This window comes from Homo sapiens, chromosome 2 (assembly GCF_000001405.40).
Source record: "Homo sapiens chromosome 2, GRCh38.p14 Primary Assembly".
Taxonomy (NCBI): Eukaryota; Metazoa; Chordata; class Mammalia; order Primates; family Hominidae; genus Homo; species Homo sapiens.
The window spans coordinates 31,123,791-31,142,866 of NC_000002.12; the positions used below are offsets into that span (position 1 = coordinate 31,123,791).

At 48.2% G+C, this 19,076-nt stretch overlaps 1 protein-coding gene across 9 annotated transcripts in view, besides 1 other annotated feature; it reads right to left on the reverse strand.

The window, feature by feature from the left end:
• Positions 1 to 14,650, reverse strand: part of GALNT14 (polypeptide N-acetylgalactosaminyltransferase 14) — a 251,659-nt gene extending 237,009 nt beyond the window's left edge. For 5 of the 9 annotated variants that reach the window (XR_007081588.1, XR_007081587.1, NM_001329097.2 and 2 more), the window contains exon 1: positions 14,168 to 14,650. Coding sequence is in view for 3 of the 9 variants with exons in the window: in NM_001329097.2 (NP_001316026.1) it covers positions 14,168 to 14,296 (129 nt within the window). In the remaining 6 variants the exon portion in view is untranslated. Of the gene's footprint in view, positions 1 to 1,363; positions 1,464 to 5,486; positions 5,851 to 8,839; positions 8,857 to 14,167 lie in introns of those variants that run through there. The other 4 variants (NM_001253826.2, NM_001329096.2, XM_047445827.1 and 1 more) reach the window with 3 other exon arrangements.
• Positions 6,121 to 6,622: an enhancer, noted in NCBI's record as "H3K4me1 hESC enhancer chr2:31352777-31353278 (GRCh37/hg19 assembly coordinates)". NCBI's record gives its function as "activates a minimal SCP1, AML or CMV promoter by ChIP-STARR-seq in naive H9 embryonic stem cells {active_cell/tissue: H9 hESC(naive)}" and the evidence as "EXISTENCE:reporter gene assay evidence [ECO:0000049][PMID:30033119]".

Here is a 19,076-nt window from a genome sequence, read left to right on the forward strand (position 1 = left end):
TGTATCCCCATGTACCCCGGCAAAGATTCTCTTCTTCCCCTTGGCCTCACATTCCACTTTGACTCAAAAGAGAAAAGACAGCTATCCATTTTGCAGTTCCTTCCACCATTAAACAGCATCCCCAGAGACACAGTTGTATCTTTCCAGTAATACAGCAATACATCTAAGAGGAACACAGTGTTCGGGAATCAGAAGTGGTGAGGGAGGGGCCAGCAGAGAGCCACTGCTACACACTCCACACTCCCTCAGAATTCACCCCCGCTTCCTACACAGGGCTTCCCACACAGCAGCACCCCATATGGGTTTGCCGGATGTTCGGACAAACTTGATCCAGTGACCTGGGGCAGGTGATTTTGCCCGCTCTGTCTCCCCATGCTTGACAGGCACTCAAAGGGGGAAACCTCCAAGGAGTTCACCCATCTTTCCTGCTTGCCAACTGCCCCAGTGGCACTCCTGCCAGGGCTCTAGCATCCTACGTCCGGTCTTAGTTCCACCAATTATTCATGGTGGGAGGAAATGCAAAATGGATAGCTGTCTTTTCTCTTTTGAGTCAAAGTGGAAAGTGAGGCTGAGGGGAAGAAGAGAATCTTTACAGGGATACATGGGGATAAACGTTTGACAATTGCATTTAAATTTACCAGGCGTTGTTCTGTAAGGTTGGATTTCCTCCCCTGATCATGTCACCCTTGTTGTGTTGGGCAAGATATTGGACCTTTAGGAACCTCAACTCCCTCACTGGTAAAAATAAAGGTAATCGATACACCCTCCAGAGATAATATTGCAAAGAGAAAATGTTAACAATTAGCATGGTTCAGGCACTGTTTTTTTGTTTTTGTTTGTTTGTTTTTGAAACAGGGTCTCCCTCTATTGCCCAGGATGGAGTGCAGTGGTGCAATCTCGGCTCACTGCAACCTCCCAGGCACTGTTTAAAGAGAAAGGCACCAACCTTAAATAACCAGTATGACTGTACTGGTAGCAGTCGCTGAATCTCAGCCTGCCCACCTTGTGGGGTGGTTGTGAGGAATGAATAACTGATACAGATAAAGCACCCAGCATTTCTCCTAAAAGGCACTCACATTCACCTCTCCCCTGGAAGCCTCTTCTTTCTACGTGGACTCCTGGCCAATAACGGAGGCCACAAACCAGGTCTTCTACTAGCACTGAATGCAGGACACTTGACAGTCACTTGCGCCACTTATTCAGAGCATGGCCAGAGCCTCCTGCTGGATGCAACTTCTCTCTCCAGACATCCTGGGGTGCGCCCAGGAGCTCTGGCAGATCATCCTACCCACAGTACCCAGGGCCTGCTTGGGCAGAAAAGCAGCTGGCACCTCACACTCCTGGGGACACACAGTCAACCTACCTGTAGGAAGATGCCCTCTTTGGTAGGGAGGAGTGGGTGATACAGGCACCTGAGGCGCCCAAGGGCTCATCCCAGCCACCTTGAAAAACAAGGACCAAACCTGAAAATGCCACAAGAAAGAAGAGCAACATGGTCATTTCTTTGGCAATTAATAGCAGCATTGATTTCACAGAGATCTTACCCCTCACAAAGACTCTGTGCCCATAGGAAAGATCTGGATCCAGCCTTGAAAGAGCCCTTATTTCTTCCCTGAGAAAACAGACTACACTTCACCAAGGACCTTACACGTGGCGCTCAATGCATATCAGCTTTCTCACCCCCCATTCTTCAGGAGAATGGAAGGAAAAAAGAACACTTTAATTGTGGCTCAATGTTTATTGACCCACAAATATGCTCAGTATGACTGGGGAAAATGGGAAGTCTTGGCACAGAAAGAAAAGAAATGCACATTATAAAAAGGACTAAGTGTAAAACGTAGAAAATATCATAAGTGCAGCTTATTTATGGTTAATAGCAGGTATTTGTTTTTGCAGCTAATAATCTAATTAGCAGTCAATCCAATACATCCTTTATTATCAGCTGATCCATAATTACTGCTCCATGCTGAGTATTTTCCTGGCACATGATAGCTTTCAACTCCTCAGCACAAACAACCAAATAATGTGGTGTTATGCTAAATACAGGACGATTCCTCTCTGAGGGGTGATGCTGCAGTTTTTAGCCATTCATGATGGCCTTTGTATTTTCAGCATCTGTTGGTTAATTCCTCAGTGTCCTCTCTTTAATCAGTCTTCAGGTATTCCTAAAGCACCTTAACACTCTCAAAAATGTGATACTTTGGAGACTTCCTTTTTTAAAGTTTAACCCTAGGACCAGACACATTCCCAGTCATCTGTGGCAGGACAGCATTCATAAGGGGATGTCAGATAGCGGTGAAAGCACAAAATATTTCTCTGAAAATATTGTAAAGTTTTCTCTTTAAACATTGTTTTAAAATGACTCATCCTGAAAGAGATAGCTTCTGATGTAAGACTATTTCATCCAACAATTTCTGATCTAAACTGTTCACTCTGGGAAGCACAGTGAACCCAGGTTCTAAAGGCAAGTTGCAAAGGGAAAAATACATTCAAGTCCTCCCTTTCACAGACTCAACGTGGCTGTGAGGGGAGGGAAGGAAGCTTGGGGTGAGCATATGGAAGTTGAAAGAGGGTGGGTGCTCTGGAGGCAGACAGACCTGGTTTGGAATCTAGATCCCTGGCTTACTTATAAACAGCATGATCTTGGATATGTCACCAAGCTTCCTTAAGCCTTGGTGTTCGTCACATGAAAAACCAACCTAAGAATGCCGGCCGTGCAGTGTTGTTAAAAAGAATAGATGACTAACTCAGAAAGCACCCAACACTTACTACAGGCTCAGATTGTTAGTTCTCTGCCTGTTCTTCTGGATGCAGAAACAAGAAGCGAGTGTTCTACAAGCCAGTAGCTCACTCACATCACATAATTCTATTCTCTGCAATCACACTTTCACCTCTTACCTATAACTCTAGGTAGACTTCATCCCAGATGTACCATGGGGCTACTATACCAGCCAAAGTCCTACTCGCAGTTCCCATTGTCCTGCATGCCCCTCCACTCTACGACCCATCATCTTCCTATGATCCAGCACATACTTTGGTTAGCTGGTGCTTGTGCCATAGCAGTTGCTAAATGTCTCTCTGTCTATAAAAGGGAGTAAGACGTGGGTAACTTTCAAACCAAGACCTTTTCCAAAGACTTATTTGGGAAACAGAAACCAGTGGCTATATAAAGAATGGAAACTGCTAGGCTCTGACCCTAAATGAGGTGCTAAAACTTGGAGTCAGGAGCCACACACTCAGTTCAGATCTTTCTTTTTCAACTTTTTATTGAAGTAGAATGCACAAAGAGAAAAGAACATGTACTCAAGGAATTTCACAAGGTGAACGCACCTGTGTAACCAGCCCCCCAATCAAGAAACTGAACAGTGCCAGTGCCCCAAAATGTCCTGTCCCCATCCAGTCAGTTACCCCAACCCAGGTAACCATGAACTGACTTACAATGCCAGAGATGAATTTCGCCTGTTCTTGTACTTTATATAAATGCAATCACACAGCCTGCGGGTCAAATCTGGCCTGCCACCTGTCCTAGTACATCCTACAAACTAAGAAAGGATTTTATATTTATAAATCTTTCAAAATAATACCAAAAGAAGAATACTTCATGCGATGTGAAAAATATATGAAATTCAAATATCTGCTTCCATAAATAAAGTTTTATTGGAACACAGTGACACTAATTCATTTACATATTGTATTTCAAACTACAACTGCAGAGTTGAATAGTCACATCAGAGACCATATAACCTAAAAACAAAACAAAACAAAAATACTTACTGGCCCTTGACAGAAAAAGTTTGCCTGCTCTAATTCAAGTGCATGACATTCCCTAAAATACATAGCATTTCTGTTGGGTTTATATGTAGGAGTTGAATTGCAGGGTCATAGATGTACACATATGTTTAGCTTTAGTAGACACTGCCAAGAAGTTTACCAAAATATACACTCAATTTTAGGAGAAAAGCTAAAATCTGGAGCAGAAATCATAATTTCAGTTTTAAGACAGGCAGGGAGAATTATAGAGAGTTGATCTGAGCAAACGATTAGAAAACCATCAGGGCTTCCAAGTGGAGAGGGAAAATATCAGGGTCATCTAGGTTTACATTTCTTTTCATTCTTATTCCACACATAGTTTTTAAAAATGCAGTGTCCTTTAACATTGCCATGCTCGGGGGAAAAGGACAAGAGTAAAAAAGTCATGTTTCTGCTTGGGATCTTAGAGCAGAGTACCAACTTTATTGTTTAGGCCATGTCACAAAAACACCACCATGGGCCCAGGAGCTTACTGGAACTGCAGACAAAATATCCAGGAAGACATCAGCAGCCTCCTGATCTTACGCTTTCCTAAGTTTAACCACATATGTGGGCAGAGCCTACATAACTCAAACCCAACCTCCAAATCCTCCACAAAGAGTCTGGTCCCTGTACTGGGTAGAACCAGCAGGCCACCAACGAGACAGAACTGAGGAGTTGTCCATCAGTTTTCAAGGCTAACCAGCAAGACATGGCAGGGTGCCCCCACATTAGAGGCATGGCCAGGACACCCCGGCATTAGAGATGCAGGCAGGGCACCCTCTACATTAAGGTGACGTTGGATATCTTCTAAAGTCACTTCCTGGAGTCATTTCCCCAGGCACTTGCTTGCATTTCAAATAGGATGTGTTAGGTTCTTTCAAATGACATTTTTCCTCTTGGAAGGAAATTGCTTCCTATAGTTTAAGGACCACATTCATCAAGAAAGGGACTCAAACAGTTTGTGTCTTAACTCCACAACCCTGCTGATTTCTAACTTGGAGCAGCCTAGGAATGAACAGCACAGCCTCCTGTCCTGCCAGCAAACCCTGCAGGCCCAGGAGGGAGGTAGTAGCAGGGCAGCGTGGGCTCCTGGCTAGGCCAGAGTCAGAACCTGATGTGGGGTACTTGTGGGGAGGGGGAAGGGCGGAGAGCCTCTCTCCACTTCTTGCACCACCGAGTCTGCCGTTACAGTCCCAGCTCTTTCCACTCCAGAAAGCAGTGGTCCCGTGGACTGGCCCTGACTGGCCCAAGCATGGGTTAAACTTGGCCTTTCCTAGAAGAAAACCCAAAGTCCTCCAGACCCTCTGGTGGCCTTCCAGAGACAAGCTCTGTATTTCCCTTAATCCCTTTTCCAGTTCCCTTCTGTAAGTTAAAAAATAAAATTGAAAAAAAAAAAAAACACACAAAGCAATGCTGGTGTTTCAGCAGAGGGAGGGCATCTTTTCTCAGCAAGTGCACTAGCTTTTTGTCCATATGAAAACAAACATATAACATACACATATATATTTCATCTTCCCTGGCAAAGGAATCTCACCTGAAGTTGAGCGTGGCTCTAACAGAAACAGCATATGCGTGACAGTCAAAAGAGCGAGTTGAAGCCCACTTGCTGATTAGGCTAGCTTGCCCAAGTCCCTACCCTGCTATCACCTCAGATTCATCACAGTTCAGAAAACGAGAATAATAATAACACTCACCTCACAAAGTCGCAGTAAGGATCAAATGAGGCAACTGTGGATATAAATGCTTTGTAAACTGTAAAACATCACACCAAGTGGTGGGGAAAAAAGCTACCTCTTATCTTCTTTTCCTGATTCACCCTTTAATTAGTAAAGTCTTTCAGCTAGCTCCTCTTCTGATAAAGACCACCTGCCCACCATAAGGACATTAGTCAATTCAGCACCCAGCTGGCAGCCATCAATTGGCCATCTATTAATAGCCAATTATCTGGGTGCCTTAATTAATCCACAGACCACGTGGCCTGATCTCCCTGAGATCCTAGGAAACAATAAGCCTGAAATACAGGCACCAGCTAATTTTTCAGTGGCCATCAAGGAATCTGGCATCTATTATGCCTGCATGTTGCAGCTGCGAGAGATGGGCACATAAATATTGATTGGACCAGTCTCTATGGCTGGGAGGTGGGGGGTGGGAGGGACATCAATGATTACTGTTCTCTGAGGAATAAGAGAAGCTACATAAATCTTCAGCCCAGACAACTAAGGAAGAAAATCCTTATTTCCAAACCATAGTGCAAACAGAGAAAAGAGACAGTTAACCTCTTTGGAGAGAGCTCGTCAAGAGAGAGTGGCCCTACTAGTTCTATAGATGTTTCAGGCTCTCTCCTTGCCTAGCATGCATGCAGATCGGGTTGCAAGAGCAGGATCATTAGGAAGAAGACAGCCGGGGTGGTTGTTCTCTTCATCTGGGCATTCAAATCCCAGGGCAGAGACATGTGAGTGTGCCCTGCTCTCCTGCATTTCCTTGAAAGATCTCTGTAGTGCTTACAGTTAAGAAGACAAGTGACATAAGGAGAATTTAATTATTTTTTAAGTGCCTCATCTTGTCTCCAGGAAATGGCACGCAGAAAAGGCTTTGTACTTGAAACCAGCATTGTCCAGGATGCAGGGGATCAGATGGCTCTGTATTCCCAGCGATAAGGGCTCCTGCTGATAGAAAGGCCAGAGTGGCAACCTCCTTCCTTCAGGAAAGAACTAGCTTTGTGTCCAGAGCGGTGCTCTCAGAGGTGGCTGCTCCTGACCTTGGGGCCTGCAGGGAAGTGTTGGGCTTCTACAGAGCAGAGGGCAGAGGGCCAGCCACCACTGGAGCCCTGGTCCCAGGACCCTGGGGCTGTATAGCCAGGCTGGCTTTTCAGGGGACAGAAGAAGAATGTGAAGGGGAGGATGGAGCATGGACAGAACATCAGGAGGAAAGAGGATGCCCTAGGTGGCACACACCTCCCACACCACAGAGATGTCCCCTCCTCTATCCCTCTGTCAGCCTCTAGCTCTCATTAGGCCCTGGGATGGCAGCAGCCACTGCCAAATGCAAAGACTGTCACCTCAGAAGGTCACATCAGGCCATTTATTCTGAAAAACCAAAATACCAGAGCCAGCACATTGCAGGAGCTCCTGCAGAATTCCCCAGGGTACCTCTGTGTGTGTGTGTGTGTGTGTGTGTGTGTGTGTGTGTGTGTGTGTGTGTGCGCGCGCACCTGTGTGTGTGCCTGTGTGTGTATATGTGTGTGTTCATGTTCTTCGGTATCCCAAAGGGGTTCTTTCTTAATCAGCTCAACATCTGAGGACTGAGACTGATTTATTTTTTGGTTAATCTAGCATTTCTGGTAAAATAATTAAAAGTAATAGACACAGAGTATCTGTAGTATAATTATTTATAGCCATAAGGTCTCACTTCACAGTTATTCATAACTAACCTGAAAAGACTCAGACTGCTGGTAAGCAAGTGGGGGTCAGACAGTTCTAGAGTGAGCTGCTCCCATTTCACAGTCAAGGAGACTGAGCCAGGAAGAGAGGAATCTCAGTCACCCCTGGCACTGCCAGTGGCCACACTGGCTGCCATGTCTATCAGGAAACTCGGGGAGTAAAACACACTTGATCTTGACATGATGGGAGCTAGAGAAGGTGGGACTCTCTCTATCTCCTGCCGCTTGTGTGCAGCATGAGTCTCTGAGGACCCTGTGAGGAAAAAGGCTCACACCCAGCCCAGGATAAATACAGGCAAGTGGCAGGGGCCTGCAGCCAGTGGTAGAGGGCACGGGCATGTCCAGACTCACTTCCCCAAACAGATGGTGAGTCTACGATTCTAGGTCTCTGGGGTGGAATATTCAAAAGCCATGGCAGGGTTCACAGACTCCCCCAGGAGAGGAGCTGGGGATCTGGCCCTGCTTTCTAATTCAGATTATTTTCCAAAAAATGCATTGGGGACTTTGGGATGCTATAGAAGAGTGACAAAACTGCAAACATTAGAAATGAAACAAGGGCTCAAGCAATGAAGGTCTTCAAAAACTGGTTCCTGGGTGTCTGACAATGAATAAGACCACTTCAGAAAGCTGGGATGGGGAGGCATGGTGTAGGATGTAGGCACAGGAGGTAAAATCAGATGGCATGAAAACCAAGCTGTGCAGGAATCCTGGGCTTCAGGCGTCAGCCCACGGCAGCCTTATTCCGTCCCTGTTCAGTTTATAAATGACCTCTGATGAGTGGAAATTAGCACTTTTAAATGATACAACCAGATGGGCAGCCCTGAAAAAGGTTAGTCTCTGGACAGACTGGGGAGGCTTGTGACAGGGCCATTAATGGATCTTCCCTTCCTGCTTTGCCCCTCTGTCTTCTCTGATTTGAGTAGGTATCATTCTGTGCCTCTGGGGAAGTTTGAGAGAGGAATTCCTGGTATTTCTTTCCAAAAACTATCAGGTCACTTTGGGAAACAAAGGTTAGGGAGAGATAGAGCTCCCCAGCCTGACTAAAAGAGATTCCATCTGCAGGTCCCTGGGACAGGGCCTCCTGCAGGGACCTGGGGGAGAGAGTGGGCTAGGAGAGTGAAAGGAAGCTGGGACACAGCACATCCGCCACTGACTCAGCGCTGACAACCAGAGGCCTGGACTCCGGGCCTTGGGACAACCCAGAATAGGCCAAAAATGACCCACGGTGAATTTCTCACCATACCCATGGGATAGAGGCTCAGTGGTTTTGTTTTTGTTTTTGTTTTAGAAAAAGCTTCTTGACATCTAAGAAGTGACCACATATGATTTCTTGACTACCTGGGATCCCAACCTGCCATTTGCATATTTCTCAGTCACTCACAAGAGCCTCTGCAGGAGCCAGCTGTGTACCACCACCCAGACACCTGCTCCTGGGAACTGCCTTAGAATGGAAAGAAAGCACAGCACCTTGTACAGGCACCCACACAGCAACTGAAAGGATGAGCATGCATCTCATCATGGGCTACTTCTGGTCATGCCAGAGTCACACTGAAATTGCCTTTGCAAAAATTACAACAATGAGAAAATTGACAGTGAAAGAGAACTGACCTAACAGACTCCATCTTGCTTCTAACTTCCAAGCTGTCTTTGTTCAATCCTGGGTGTAGGCTGCACTAACTTTGGGAAGAACCCTGAAACAAAAATGAAAACAGCCGTTTGCCAAAAGAAACCCCCATCTTGCCTGGGGGCCAGACTGCCTTTGTAGGACTAACGAATTAGCCATAAGATTAAAAATGATGGTTTAGGAGTCATGCAGCTGGAGGCCACAAAATTCTAAACCTCCCCAGTTGCTCCTAGGGATAACATCACTACTGTGAAACCTAAGATTGGTGCTTGAGATATTTTTCAGATCCTACACTGGGTGGATCAGCTAGCGCCACCCAGATCGATAAACTGGCCCATCTGGTCTTGTGGCCCCCACCCAGGAACTGACTCAGAGGAAGAGGACAGCTTTGACTCCCCATGATCTCATCTCCAACCCTACCAATCAATACTTCCCACTCCCTGGCCCCCTACCCGCCAGATTATCCTTAAAAAAAAACCCAGTCTCTGAATTTTCGGGGAGACTGATTTGAGTAATAATAAAACTCCAGTCTTCCATTCAGCCACTCCGCGTGTATTAAACTCTTTATTGCAATTCCCCTGTCTTGATACATTGGCTCTGTCTAGGAAGCGGGCAACAAGAACCCGTTGGACAGTTACAAAATTCCCTGGACAGAGTCCAATATGCACATACCAAGTATGAGTAGATTAATAGGGTCTCTCTCTAAAATTTATGACTTTTTTTAATGAGAGAAATTATCTACTAAATGAGGAATAAAATAACAGTGTCATATACTTAAGGCATTGGTGGGATGCAAATGTTACAGAAAGACAAGCTATTTTCTAATGGTGTTTGTTGTATTTCTAGTACAGCACCAATACACTTACATGGGCCAGAGGCATTTTATTCAAAGCCTTTACATTTCCAATACCTTCCTTGAAAATTACCCTCAGGCCTACAATTCTTTTGCTTTTACTAAGCCCTAAACACCTGGACTATATTTAGTTTCTTAGAAATAAGAGACAAATTTGCTGATATTTTTAAAATTTTAGTCAGTTATTGTATGATTCTCCAAATGGCAAACAAATGATAGGGAGAGAAGAAATTAAAACATTTTTCAGCTACTTTTAAGTGGCATAGTATTTACCATTCAAATACAGTCTGAATTAAAACACTCAATTTGTTACAGGATTTTTCAGTTAGAAATTAGAGCTTTGCTGGATAATTGGGGGGGAGGCAGTAAAAGAATGAAATTAACGTTAAAAAGTCAAATTTAAAGAACTCTTTACTTGAGCTATTAATAGAAAGAATCAGCCCTTCTTGAAACTAAGAAAAAAGTCTAATAAATTTCCTTAAGCCAGGAGTGTAGCATGCCTTCTTCACTTCACTTGCACTGGGGCCCAGCGACCAGAGATTTCATTTCATCCCGCCCTCTTTGGAGATCCTGTCACTAGGTGAGTGGAGACATTTCCTAAGACCACGAGGAAAAGAGAACAAGGGCCTGATGGCCCAGAACCAGAACCTGCCTCTCCGAAGGCAATCTGCTCCACAGAATCTAAGGGTCGGGTAGTTCCCCAGACCAGGAGCCCTTAATACAGCTCTCTCCAATCTCTACACCTTTCCCAACTTCTCTGAATACATTCAAAGGAAGGGAGCCCACTCCTCTTGCTTTGGAAGAAAAGCTGACTCCCTCACCCATGCTGGGAAGATGCCTAGAGGCCTGAGCAGGAAGAAAACCTCTCCAAGGCTTCAGCATGTCCAAGGCAAAGAGCTGTCCCCATGATTACACGCTAGGAAAACCTACAGCACGGAACTCACTCAAAAACCAACTTTTTTCCCTATGATAGATGGAAGTCCCATCCGAATTCCTACTGTTGAAGAAACAATCTCTGCCCTGGCAAATGGCCTCCTAAACCAACGCCTCTGCAACCACCCAACACAGGGACTCTCCTCATCAGGGTGTGCTCCATCCAGTGAGGGGAGCCTCCTGTGCCCCACATGGTGCCTTCCAAGGGCAGGGGTGATGTCCCTCCGCAGTAGCTCCTGCCTTAGCACCTCCCTTACACAAACCCCCTGGGAGCTCTCCAAGGGTGAGGATCTAGGGATGAGCCAAGGGAGCTCTGGGAAGCGGGTGGGGAATTCCTGCTGTCAATTCAGGCAGTCTCTGGGTTTAACGGCATGGAAAAAGCAAGCAGTGGGCAGTTTCAGGAGGGATCCCATTCCATTCTTGTCCTGATGCTGCCACTTGGACAGCTTGGTTAGCTTGGGCCAAATTTTTCACCTCCTTAATGTCATCTGCATAAAAGTACTATCTTGTCTCCCTTGTGCAGTTGTGAGTATTAAATGAACTAATATATGTAAATGGAGTCTGTGAATTTGTAAAGCCCTATAGAAATGCTGGTGGCTGTTATTTAACATGCATGCATAGGCTTACATGGGTTAGGTCCATAAGCACACTCAAGAAGAAAATCATTTGACCATATTTACATGCAGCCAACCAAACCACGATCAACAGACTTGGTATTCTTCATCTAGCTCCCAAATGCCACCCATCAATAGGCTGCTTCAGAATCACATGCAACCCTGGTAAAAACAGTAATTCTAGAACCTTCTCCCAAACTCACAGAGGCATAATCTCTGTAGTAAGCCCAAAAATCTGCATGTTAATGGAGCTCACCAGGTGATTCTGACATGCAGCCAGGTTTCGGTACCACTGTGCTCCTTTGGACATGTCATATAAATTTGGACTTGTCATACAAAGTCACAGGGAATAAAACTGTTCTGGCGTTACCTAAGGAGTCTCTGTCTTTCTTCCTCTCTTCTCAGGTACATACACACTAAGATACAGAGCGACATACATACAAGGGAAAAACAGGAAGAAGAAAAATACTAACAAAAAAAAAAGAAGACACCTAATAGTAAGAGGTGTCAAGATTTTCTAAGTCTATAAAAATTCATGGTTCTAGAAGGATACAGAAAATGAGGAAAAGAAGGAACAAGATGTTAAGACAAAGAGCAACTGGTTCAAAACTAGAAAACCTCCTCTTTTGTGACTGCACAGTACAATGTCCTGACTTCTGCTACTAAACCACTCCCCACCTTAAAGTACCACTCATTTGTTGGTAATTCTGCCTCATCCTGCAACTTATGTGGCCCCCCACCCCCATGCCAAAGGACAGGGACACAGCGTGCTCATCATAGCAGCCCCCAAACCCAGCACAGAGCCTGGCATACAGCTGCCTGTGATAGATGTGTGCTGAGCACACGCCAGGATAAGAAGAGGCAGGAGAGGAGGAGGGACAAAGAGTGCACAAAGAAAGAAACAGGTCTCTTGTCCCAGATCCCTGGTGTAAACTAAGAATAAGCAAGCTTAAGGTAATGAGGGTCGAAGCAAAACAGAGAAAGTTCATGTCCCTGCAGGTATCATTAACTACATCACAGGGAGCAGAACCACCTAGGGAAAAAGAAGAAAAGCTCTCCAGATCTATGGGCAGGGGCTGAGTGAGAAAAGTGATCTGGTGCTATTAAAGGTGGTTTGAAGTCATCAATCTGGCCTCGCCACCTCACTGCCTGACCCTCTCCAAGAGTCCTCACACCCACAAGATTCTACCCCACCCAGCCCCTACACACCTCCCTAAACTTTATCCCTCCAACCTCCACATACTTTGTGCTCAAATTATGCCAAACTCACACAACGTGCTGTGTCATTCCTCTGAGCCTGTTTCATGCAGTTAACCTCTACCTGGAATGCCCTTTCTACCTACTGACAAACCTGTTTATCCTTCTCAGCTCAGCTCTGTTATGTCCTCCTCCTCCAGGGAGACCTCAGGCTCCCATGACACCCAGTGCACTGAACCCTCTTAGCCCTATGCACACCTCACATCCTGGTCCAATGATGAGTGAACTCCTCTCCCCCCAGAGAGTAAATTCTATCTCTCTCTACCCATAGCACCTAACACACTGCCTGAGCACACAATAGGTGCTAAATAAATGCTTGTTGAAATCGACAAAGCATTGGCAAGATTCCAGAACATAAGTGCTAGAAGACTTGGTTAAAAAGGGGAAACCGAGAGGCAACTTGATATACTGGAAACCCTGAGCGTGGAGGCTGGAGTTCAAACCAGTAGAACGACTTAAGGTACGTGACTTAAAGACCCTGAACCTGTTTTCCTGATCTATGAAACAAGCATATTACCACCCAACTCCTACAACTACTTATGAGGAAGGCACCTACTATGCACCTGGCACACAGTAGGCCCTCTGTACTGTACTTAACTGGTGAGACGCCACCTCCCGCCCACATCTTCCTGTTTTTCAGTCTCCCATTTCCGACCATAAGCTCCTCCAAGGCTTTTGCCCAGACCCCTAGACGACTGTTCTGGACCCAGTTTATAAAGACTGCCTGGCTGGCCAGGAAATCCCCCAGAGGCCTCCTTCCGTGTCCCCGGGCCAAATCTGTGAAGAGAAAACGGAAGGCTACCATGTCACGAAAAACTATGATCAAATAAATTATTATGCCTTTTCTCCTATTGATCTGCCTTTTGTCAACTGATTTTCAGTGAACCTTCGGAGAGCCATGGGGAAGTTTTCCCTTTCCCCCTACAGGGCTCTGAATCTGAAGGTAAGAGTGAGCCTATAGGGGGAACCTTCTGGCTCCCTCACAGGAACTGACTGAGCAGGAGTTGGAAAAGCCACTTGGATTCCCATTTCCTCAACTCCCCGCCAATACCAAGGCGTCTGTTTTTACAGGCTCTTTCGTGGTGTTCTGGGCACATTCAACTTCCAATGCAGCTGAGAGGGTCGGGAACAGTTAGAGAACAGGGGTGGCAGCCGCCCGGGAGGCTGCAAGGCGCTCGCCCGCAACGCACAGGCGCGCGCGGCGCACCCGGCCTCCGGCCTCCCCAGGTCGGGCCTGGCAGCTGCGGGAAGGAGGTCAGCGCAGCCGCCACACTTCGCCCGGGCGCTGGCCCGACCCGACCGCCGGCGACTCTCTGGCAGCGCCCGGAGACCGCCAGCCCCTGGGCCGCCCGTCCGCAGAGCCCCCTCCGCCCCGGGACCCTCGCGCGCAGCTCAAGTTGGGAGCCCCGCTCCGCAGGCGAGCGCGCGCCCACCACCCACACCCACTGCCACTCATGCACACCGCGGGTCCGGAGATGCCCCCGAGCGTTTTAAAATCCAGAAACATCACATGGTAGCCACATCCGGCGGCTGTTACCTGCTCGCAGCACCCAGACCCTCGCCCTGGTTTCCCGGGAGCCCGCAAACCCGGCACGCGGGCTGCGCGCCCTCCCGCAAGCCACCGCTCAGCGCCAGCGCGCCGGCAAGCCGCCTACCTTAGGGGTCTGCACTTCAGGTCCCGTCGGCACCTCCAACTTCCTCTTGGTTACCCAGAAGAACAGCAGCACCGTGATCCAGAGCACCCCGAAGACTGGCAGAACCAGCCGACGAGTCAGGCGCCGCATGGTCCCCTTTGCCGCTTCCTCTCCGCGGCGCTACGTCCCGGGGGCACCCCCCGGCGGTCAGGGTTGGCGGGGCAGGAGTCCTGGCGAGCGCCTCGCTCTGGGGAGCTCTAGACCCAGGATCCGGTTGGAGGGGCGGCAGGATCCTGCAAGGCGCCCTTCCCGCTTCGAAGAGAAGCGAGCCTGGGTGGGGGGTGCAGGGCGACCCGAAACGTGGCAGGGAAGGACCGAGGGCAGCCAAGCTGGACGCCCGCTCCAGCGGGAGAAGCGCGGTGGCTGCCGAGATGTTCCCCACGCCGCCACCGCGGCTGCCGCCGCCGCCGCCGCCGCCTTGCCCGCTGCCGCCGATAGGGAAACTGACTCGAGCAGCGAGAGGGAGGAATCCGAGGCTGTGCCAAGCACCCCGGGAGGAGCACGAGGGCGGAGGGAGTGAGCGGGGAGGGCGGGCCCGACAGACAGGCCGACTCGGAGCGAGCCCAGGTGGGAGTGAGCGGGGCTCTGAGAGGGGGCGCTACCGCCGCCCGCCGACCGAAACGCTCGGTGCTGTTGCGGGGCCGCCAGCGCCAAGCCCTGGGCGCAGCTCCCAGACCATCGTGGGTTGGGGCAAGGCGGGGCGGGGCGGGAGCGGTGCACTCGGGATGCCCGCCACCCCCAGCTGCCAGCTGGGACCCAAGGGCCGGCCCTCGCCAGGCGGCGCTGTGCCTGGGAGGACTTTCCCGCTCATCGCGGGGGCTGCACGTGGCGCTGAAGCCGGGGTCCCACCCCCAATGTGCTCGTCCTACCACAGCCAAGGCTGGGATTCCAGGGCGCCGGCAGGGCTGCTGCCCCAAACCCGCGGTTCACTTGCCTGGCTACTGAGGGCCAAGGCCGCGGTCAGCCAACTCCCCAGGGTGTTTCTATGCCTGCCTGCAGGTGCCTGGTAACTTTTTCTGCTTAACGGAAGGAAAGCTGAGCTGGTCTAATTTTAACTTTAAAGATATCCTTTAAAAAATTAAGGCGCAATTATCTCCCATAAAGGTTTTCTCTCCCTGTAAGCATCAGGGCTTTGTGCTTGCAAGAAAAGAGGTCCAAAGTTGGAACAACCACTTGGGATTCTTGGAAAGTGACCCTGGGCAGGAGGATACTGGGTGCAGAGGGTGATCTTTCAAAAGCCCCTTTTCCCAAGGGCCTTTGGGAATTGTATCCCCCTCCCACTTGCAGATTAAAACCGCTTGGATCTAGAAGCAAAGCAAATTCTAACTCCAATTCCCATGTAGGCTCAAGTAGGCTGGAATCACGGCCAGATCACTGACCAGAGAGTACTGACCTAGCTGTCACACTCACTGTGTGAGTCTTGGGTAAGTCATTTACCTTCTCCCAGTCTTCGATTCCTCATCTGTAAAATGGAGGGAAAATACCTCCTCTGACAAGCAAATGAGTAGTGGTGAAAGCTGAATGCAAGGTGCTGGTGTTATCTGACCACTCAAAGTGGGGAAACCTTGCTCTGTCTGGGGAGCAGAGGCAGCGGGAACCATGCCATTTTTGTTGGAGGGTTGCTTGCTTCATCGAGTTTCTTGGGGAGGTGAGAACGATGCACCCACTGTGGCAGCCACCATTCTCCCTGCCCCTCTCTCCCCATAAAGCTCAGTGTAGGGCAAGCTCCCATACCTCCGCACAGGTGAGACAGCTGTAAATCAGGGCTCTGGAATTCCTTCTTCAATAAGATGTCTCCCCAAAGACATGTACTGAGAAATGGAGGCGTCTACTCAAAGCCTCCTGTTTTTGGTACCTTATCTTTCAGCCACAGGGAAGTCCTGCCTCAACCTCAGAGAGTTCTTGACTGGACTGTAGATAAGATGTTTGGGGTTGGGAACCGCAGTTGAAATTAAACAGCCCAGAAAAGGTGAGCACTGTTGCCAGCCCTTTCAAGATCTACCTGCGCTCTTAGACCATCACACAGAACCCCAGGGTTGATCTAGCATTTGCCTTTATCAGAACTCTGAACACTGAAAGGTGGGAGTAGGCTCCCCAGCCAATGCTTTGTCCCAGCAAAGGCCCAGGTAGATGATCATCATGGGAGGGGTAGGGGGAGCAGCAAGAGAACTCACCTCTGCAGCATCCCAAGCACCTTGGACCTCTTTCAGGAGCCTCACCCGGGACCTGCAGTTTCGGGCCTGCAAAGCGTTCTGCTGCAGGCTCTGCAGGGGACCCCCAGGCAAGCTGCTGAGCTGCTGTTGGCTCCAGGCAGAAGCTGCAGCACAGGAGTCCATTGCTCAGCGCTTTGTAATGCCGCTTCTGAGTAACAGATGGCAGACAGTTACACAAGAACACCGCCAAGCTTTTGAGATGGTGCAGCACCACCACGCTGCTCACCACACTGCTGAGATGCTGAGGTGCCTCATTCTGACTGTTTGGCATATGGGGAAACTGAGGCCCTGGGGTGAAGGCAGCTCCGTGCAGGGACTGCAATGTCTCAGAGAGTGGGAATTTCCTTCCAGGAATGATTTTCTTCTCAAATCATTATTTTGTCCTCTACTCAAGTGAGGAAGATTTCCTGGGCCTATGGAAGCTGTCAAGGGAATCCAGTTTTGCTAGGTGTCATTAGCTGATCCATCCAGAGATCATATCAGATATCAGTTTGGGTTGTCAAACCAGTAAATATCATTAGGACTGAAGTAGATTTCAAGTGGGACTTCAAACATCTGGAAGTGAAGTGAGTGTCCATGCGGGGCCTAGTTCTGTAGGTCTCTCCAGGAACCCAGTCTATCCAGGGGTCCCCCATGCTCAGGAATATATTTGAAACGCTTTAATAACCAGCTTTAAGCCTGGGCAACATAGCGAGAGCTTGTCTCTAAACAACAACAACAACAACAAAATAGCCAGGCGAAGTGGCAGGTGTCTCTAGTCCCAGCCAATTGGGAGGCTAAGACAGGAGGATTACTTGAGCCCAGGATTTTGAGGCTGCAGCGAGCTATGATCTCACCACTGCACTCCAGCCTGGGTGATGGAGCGAGACCCTGTCTCAAAAAATGAATAAATAAAATAACAAGCTTAAGTAATGCAGAGTATGGTTGATCCCAGCGGGGGATTAGCTATCATTGGCGATTAATCCAAGTTACTTTTTTCTTATCACAGCCAATATGGGGAGGAAAAGCTCCTAGCAAAAGACTTAACATGGCAGGAAATGAAAAAAAATAAATACACTCTGAACTAGGACTCTCCTGGTTCTCCTGGATCTCCTAAAACAGATCTACCTCCTCAGTCTTGATATTGTTGAGCCAAGCTCCTCATTCCTCTGGGTCTGTGGTTTCCCATCGGCAATGTCATGTTCTCTCAAAGACCCTCCCAGCTGACGCATTTAGGGTTCTGACCTTTCTTGTCCTGGATCAGGACCTTCTTTACCACTCCTGTTGTTGGCGAGTTCTGTGTAAGCTGTTCTCTCCTCACAGCCGAAGACATTAGAGAGCAAATTGGGTACTGGAGCAGATGTGAGTCATTCATGTTAGTATAAAAACTATGGAATGAAACCCATTATGGCCCGGAAAGCAGTGTAAAGCAGCATATGGAGCAAATGCAAGCTGGAAGCAGGAGGAAGCTGTGAAGTCCGATGCATATGCTCTGTGGCGGCTTTTGCTGTGGATTCTCACACTTCGCTTCTCGTTTCCTGTAGCCGTCTCCCCATCATTCTCGCTCAGCCCACTGCAGAGGCTGCAGCCTTTGTTCCTTTTGGATCAGATTCTCTGAGTCCCTCCTCTCTGCCCACTGCATGACTTCAGGGAGGCTGTGTGTGCGCGAGTGGCTGTGTGTGTGCTTCTTGCCATCTGCACGCTTATTAGACCTGTCACAATCAGCGAGACACCCTCTGTGCCAACCTAACGAAATTTCACCCACAGAGGCCCAGACAGGTTTCTGTTGAGGTCTTTACCTCTTCTGGGCCATAGGGAAAGGTAAGCAGTAGCAGGGCAGATTGCAGCACAGTGAGAAGATGAGTCGCACACATGCTGGCCCAGCAGCAAAAAGAGCGGCAGTGAAAATTCAAAGATCTGTCTGTCTTTATTCCACAGTCATACAGATACAAGTCTTTGGGCTGACTCCTGCAGTTGACTCTGTTCAAGTTCTCCACTGTAAATAATACATCAGCTCCCCTTTCCTCTGTGTTCCTCTCCATTTTCCTTGCCACTATAGATCCTGTCAAAACCGCATGTCCTGGGTTTCCTGCAAGGCTTTCTTATAGAGTGAGTGATGGAATAGTTTAAACCACGTGGTGAATGAGGATGAGCTATTACCAACCCCTTACCTCATCTTTCTGCCACATCAGTGAATCTTTGTCAAAAGAATAAAGCCAGCTGGATTTTCCTCTCATCTTTGACGGGTAGATGGGTGGCTTTATCTAAGGGATCTGACAGTCACCTTTCTGGATCTTTCTCTTTCCATTAAACAACTCCTTTCACCAGCCCACTACCCTCAACTCCTCTCCCTCCTTTTATTCTTATATTCGATTCCTTGAAAGGGATCTATATCTTTGCATTTCAAAAGCCTGCTTCTTTTATTGTTTGAAATGCCCCAAACTTTCTTTGTTTCTCACCCAAATGCCAAGTGTAAAACTTAATACTGCTACAATGATATGTCTTTGCTGGTTGTGTAAAGTGGTTTGATCTTCAGTGATGGTGCCCTGTGGTGATCTGAGAAATTTCCCCCACCCCCCCCCCAGCCCCTATAGAATATGCAAAGTTCTAGCATGAAGGTGTGACCCAGTTTGCCTAAAGAAAAGTAAAAGAGACCTGCACAGTGGCTCACGCCTGTA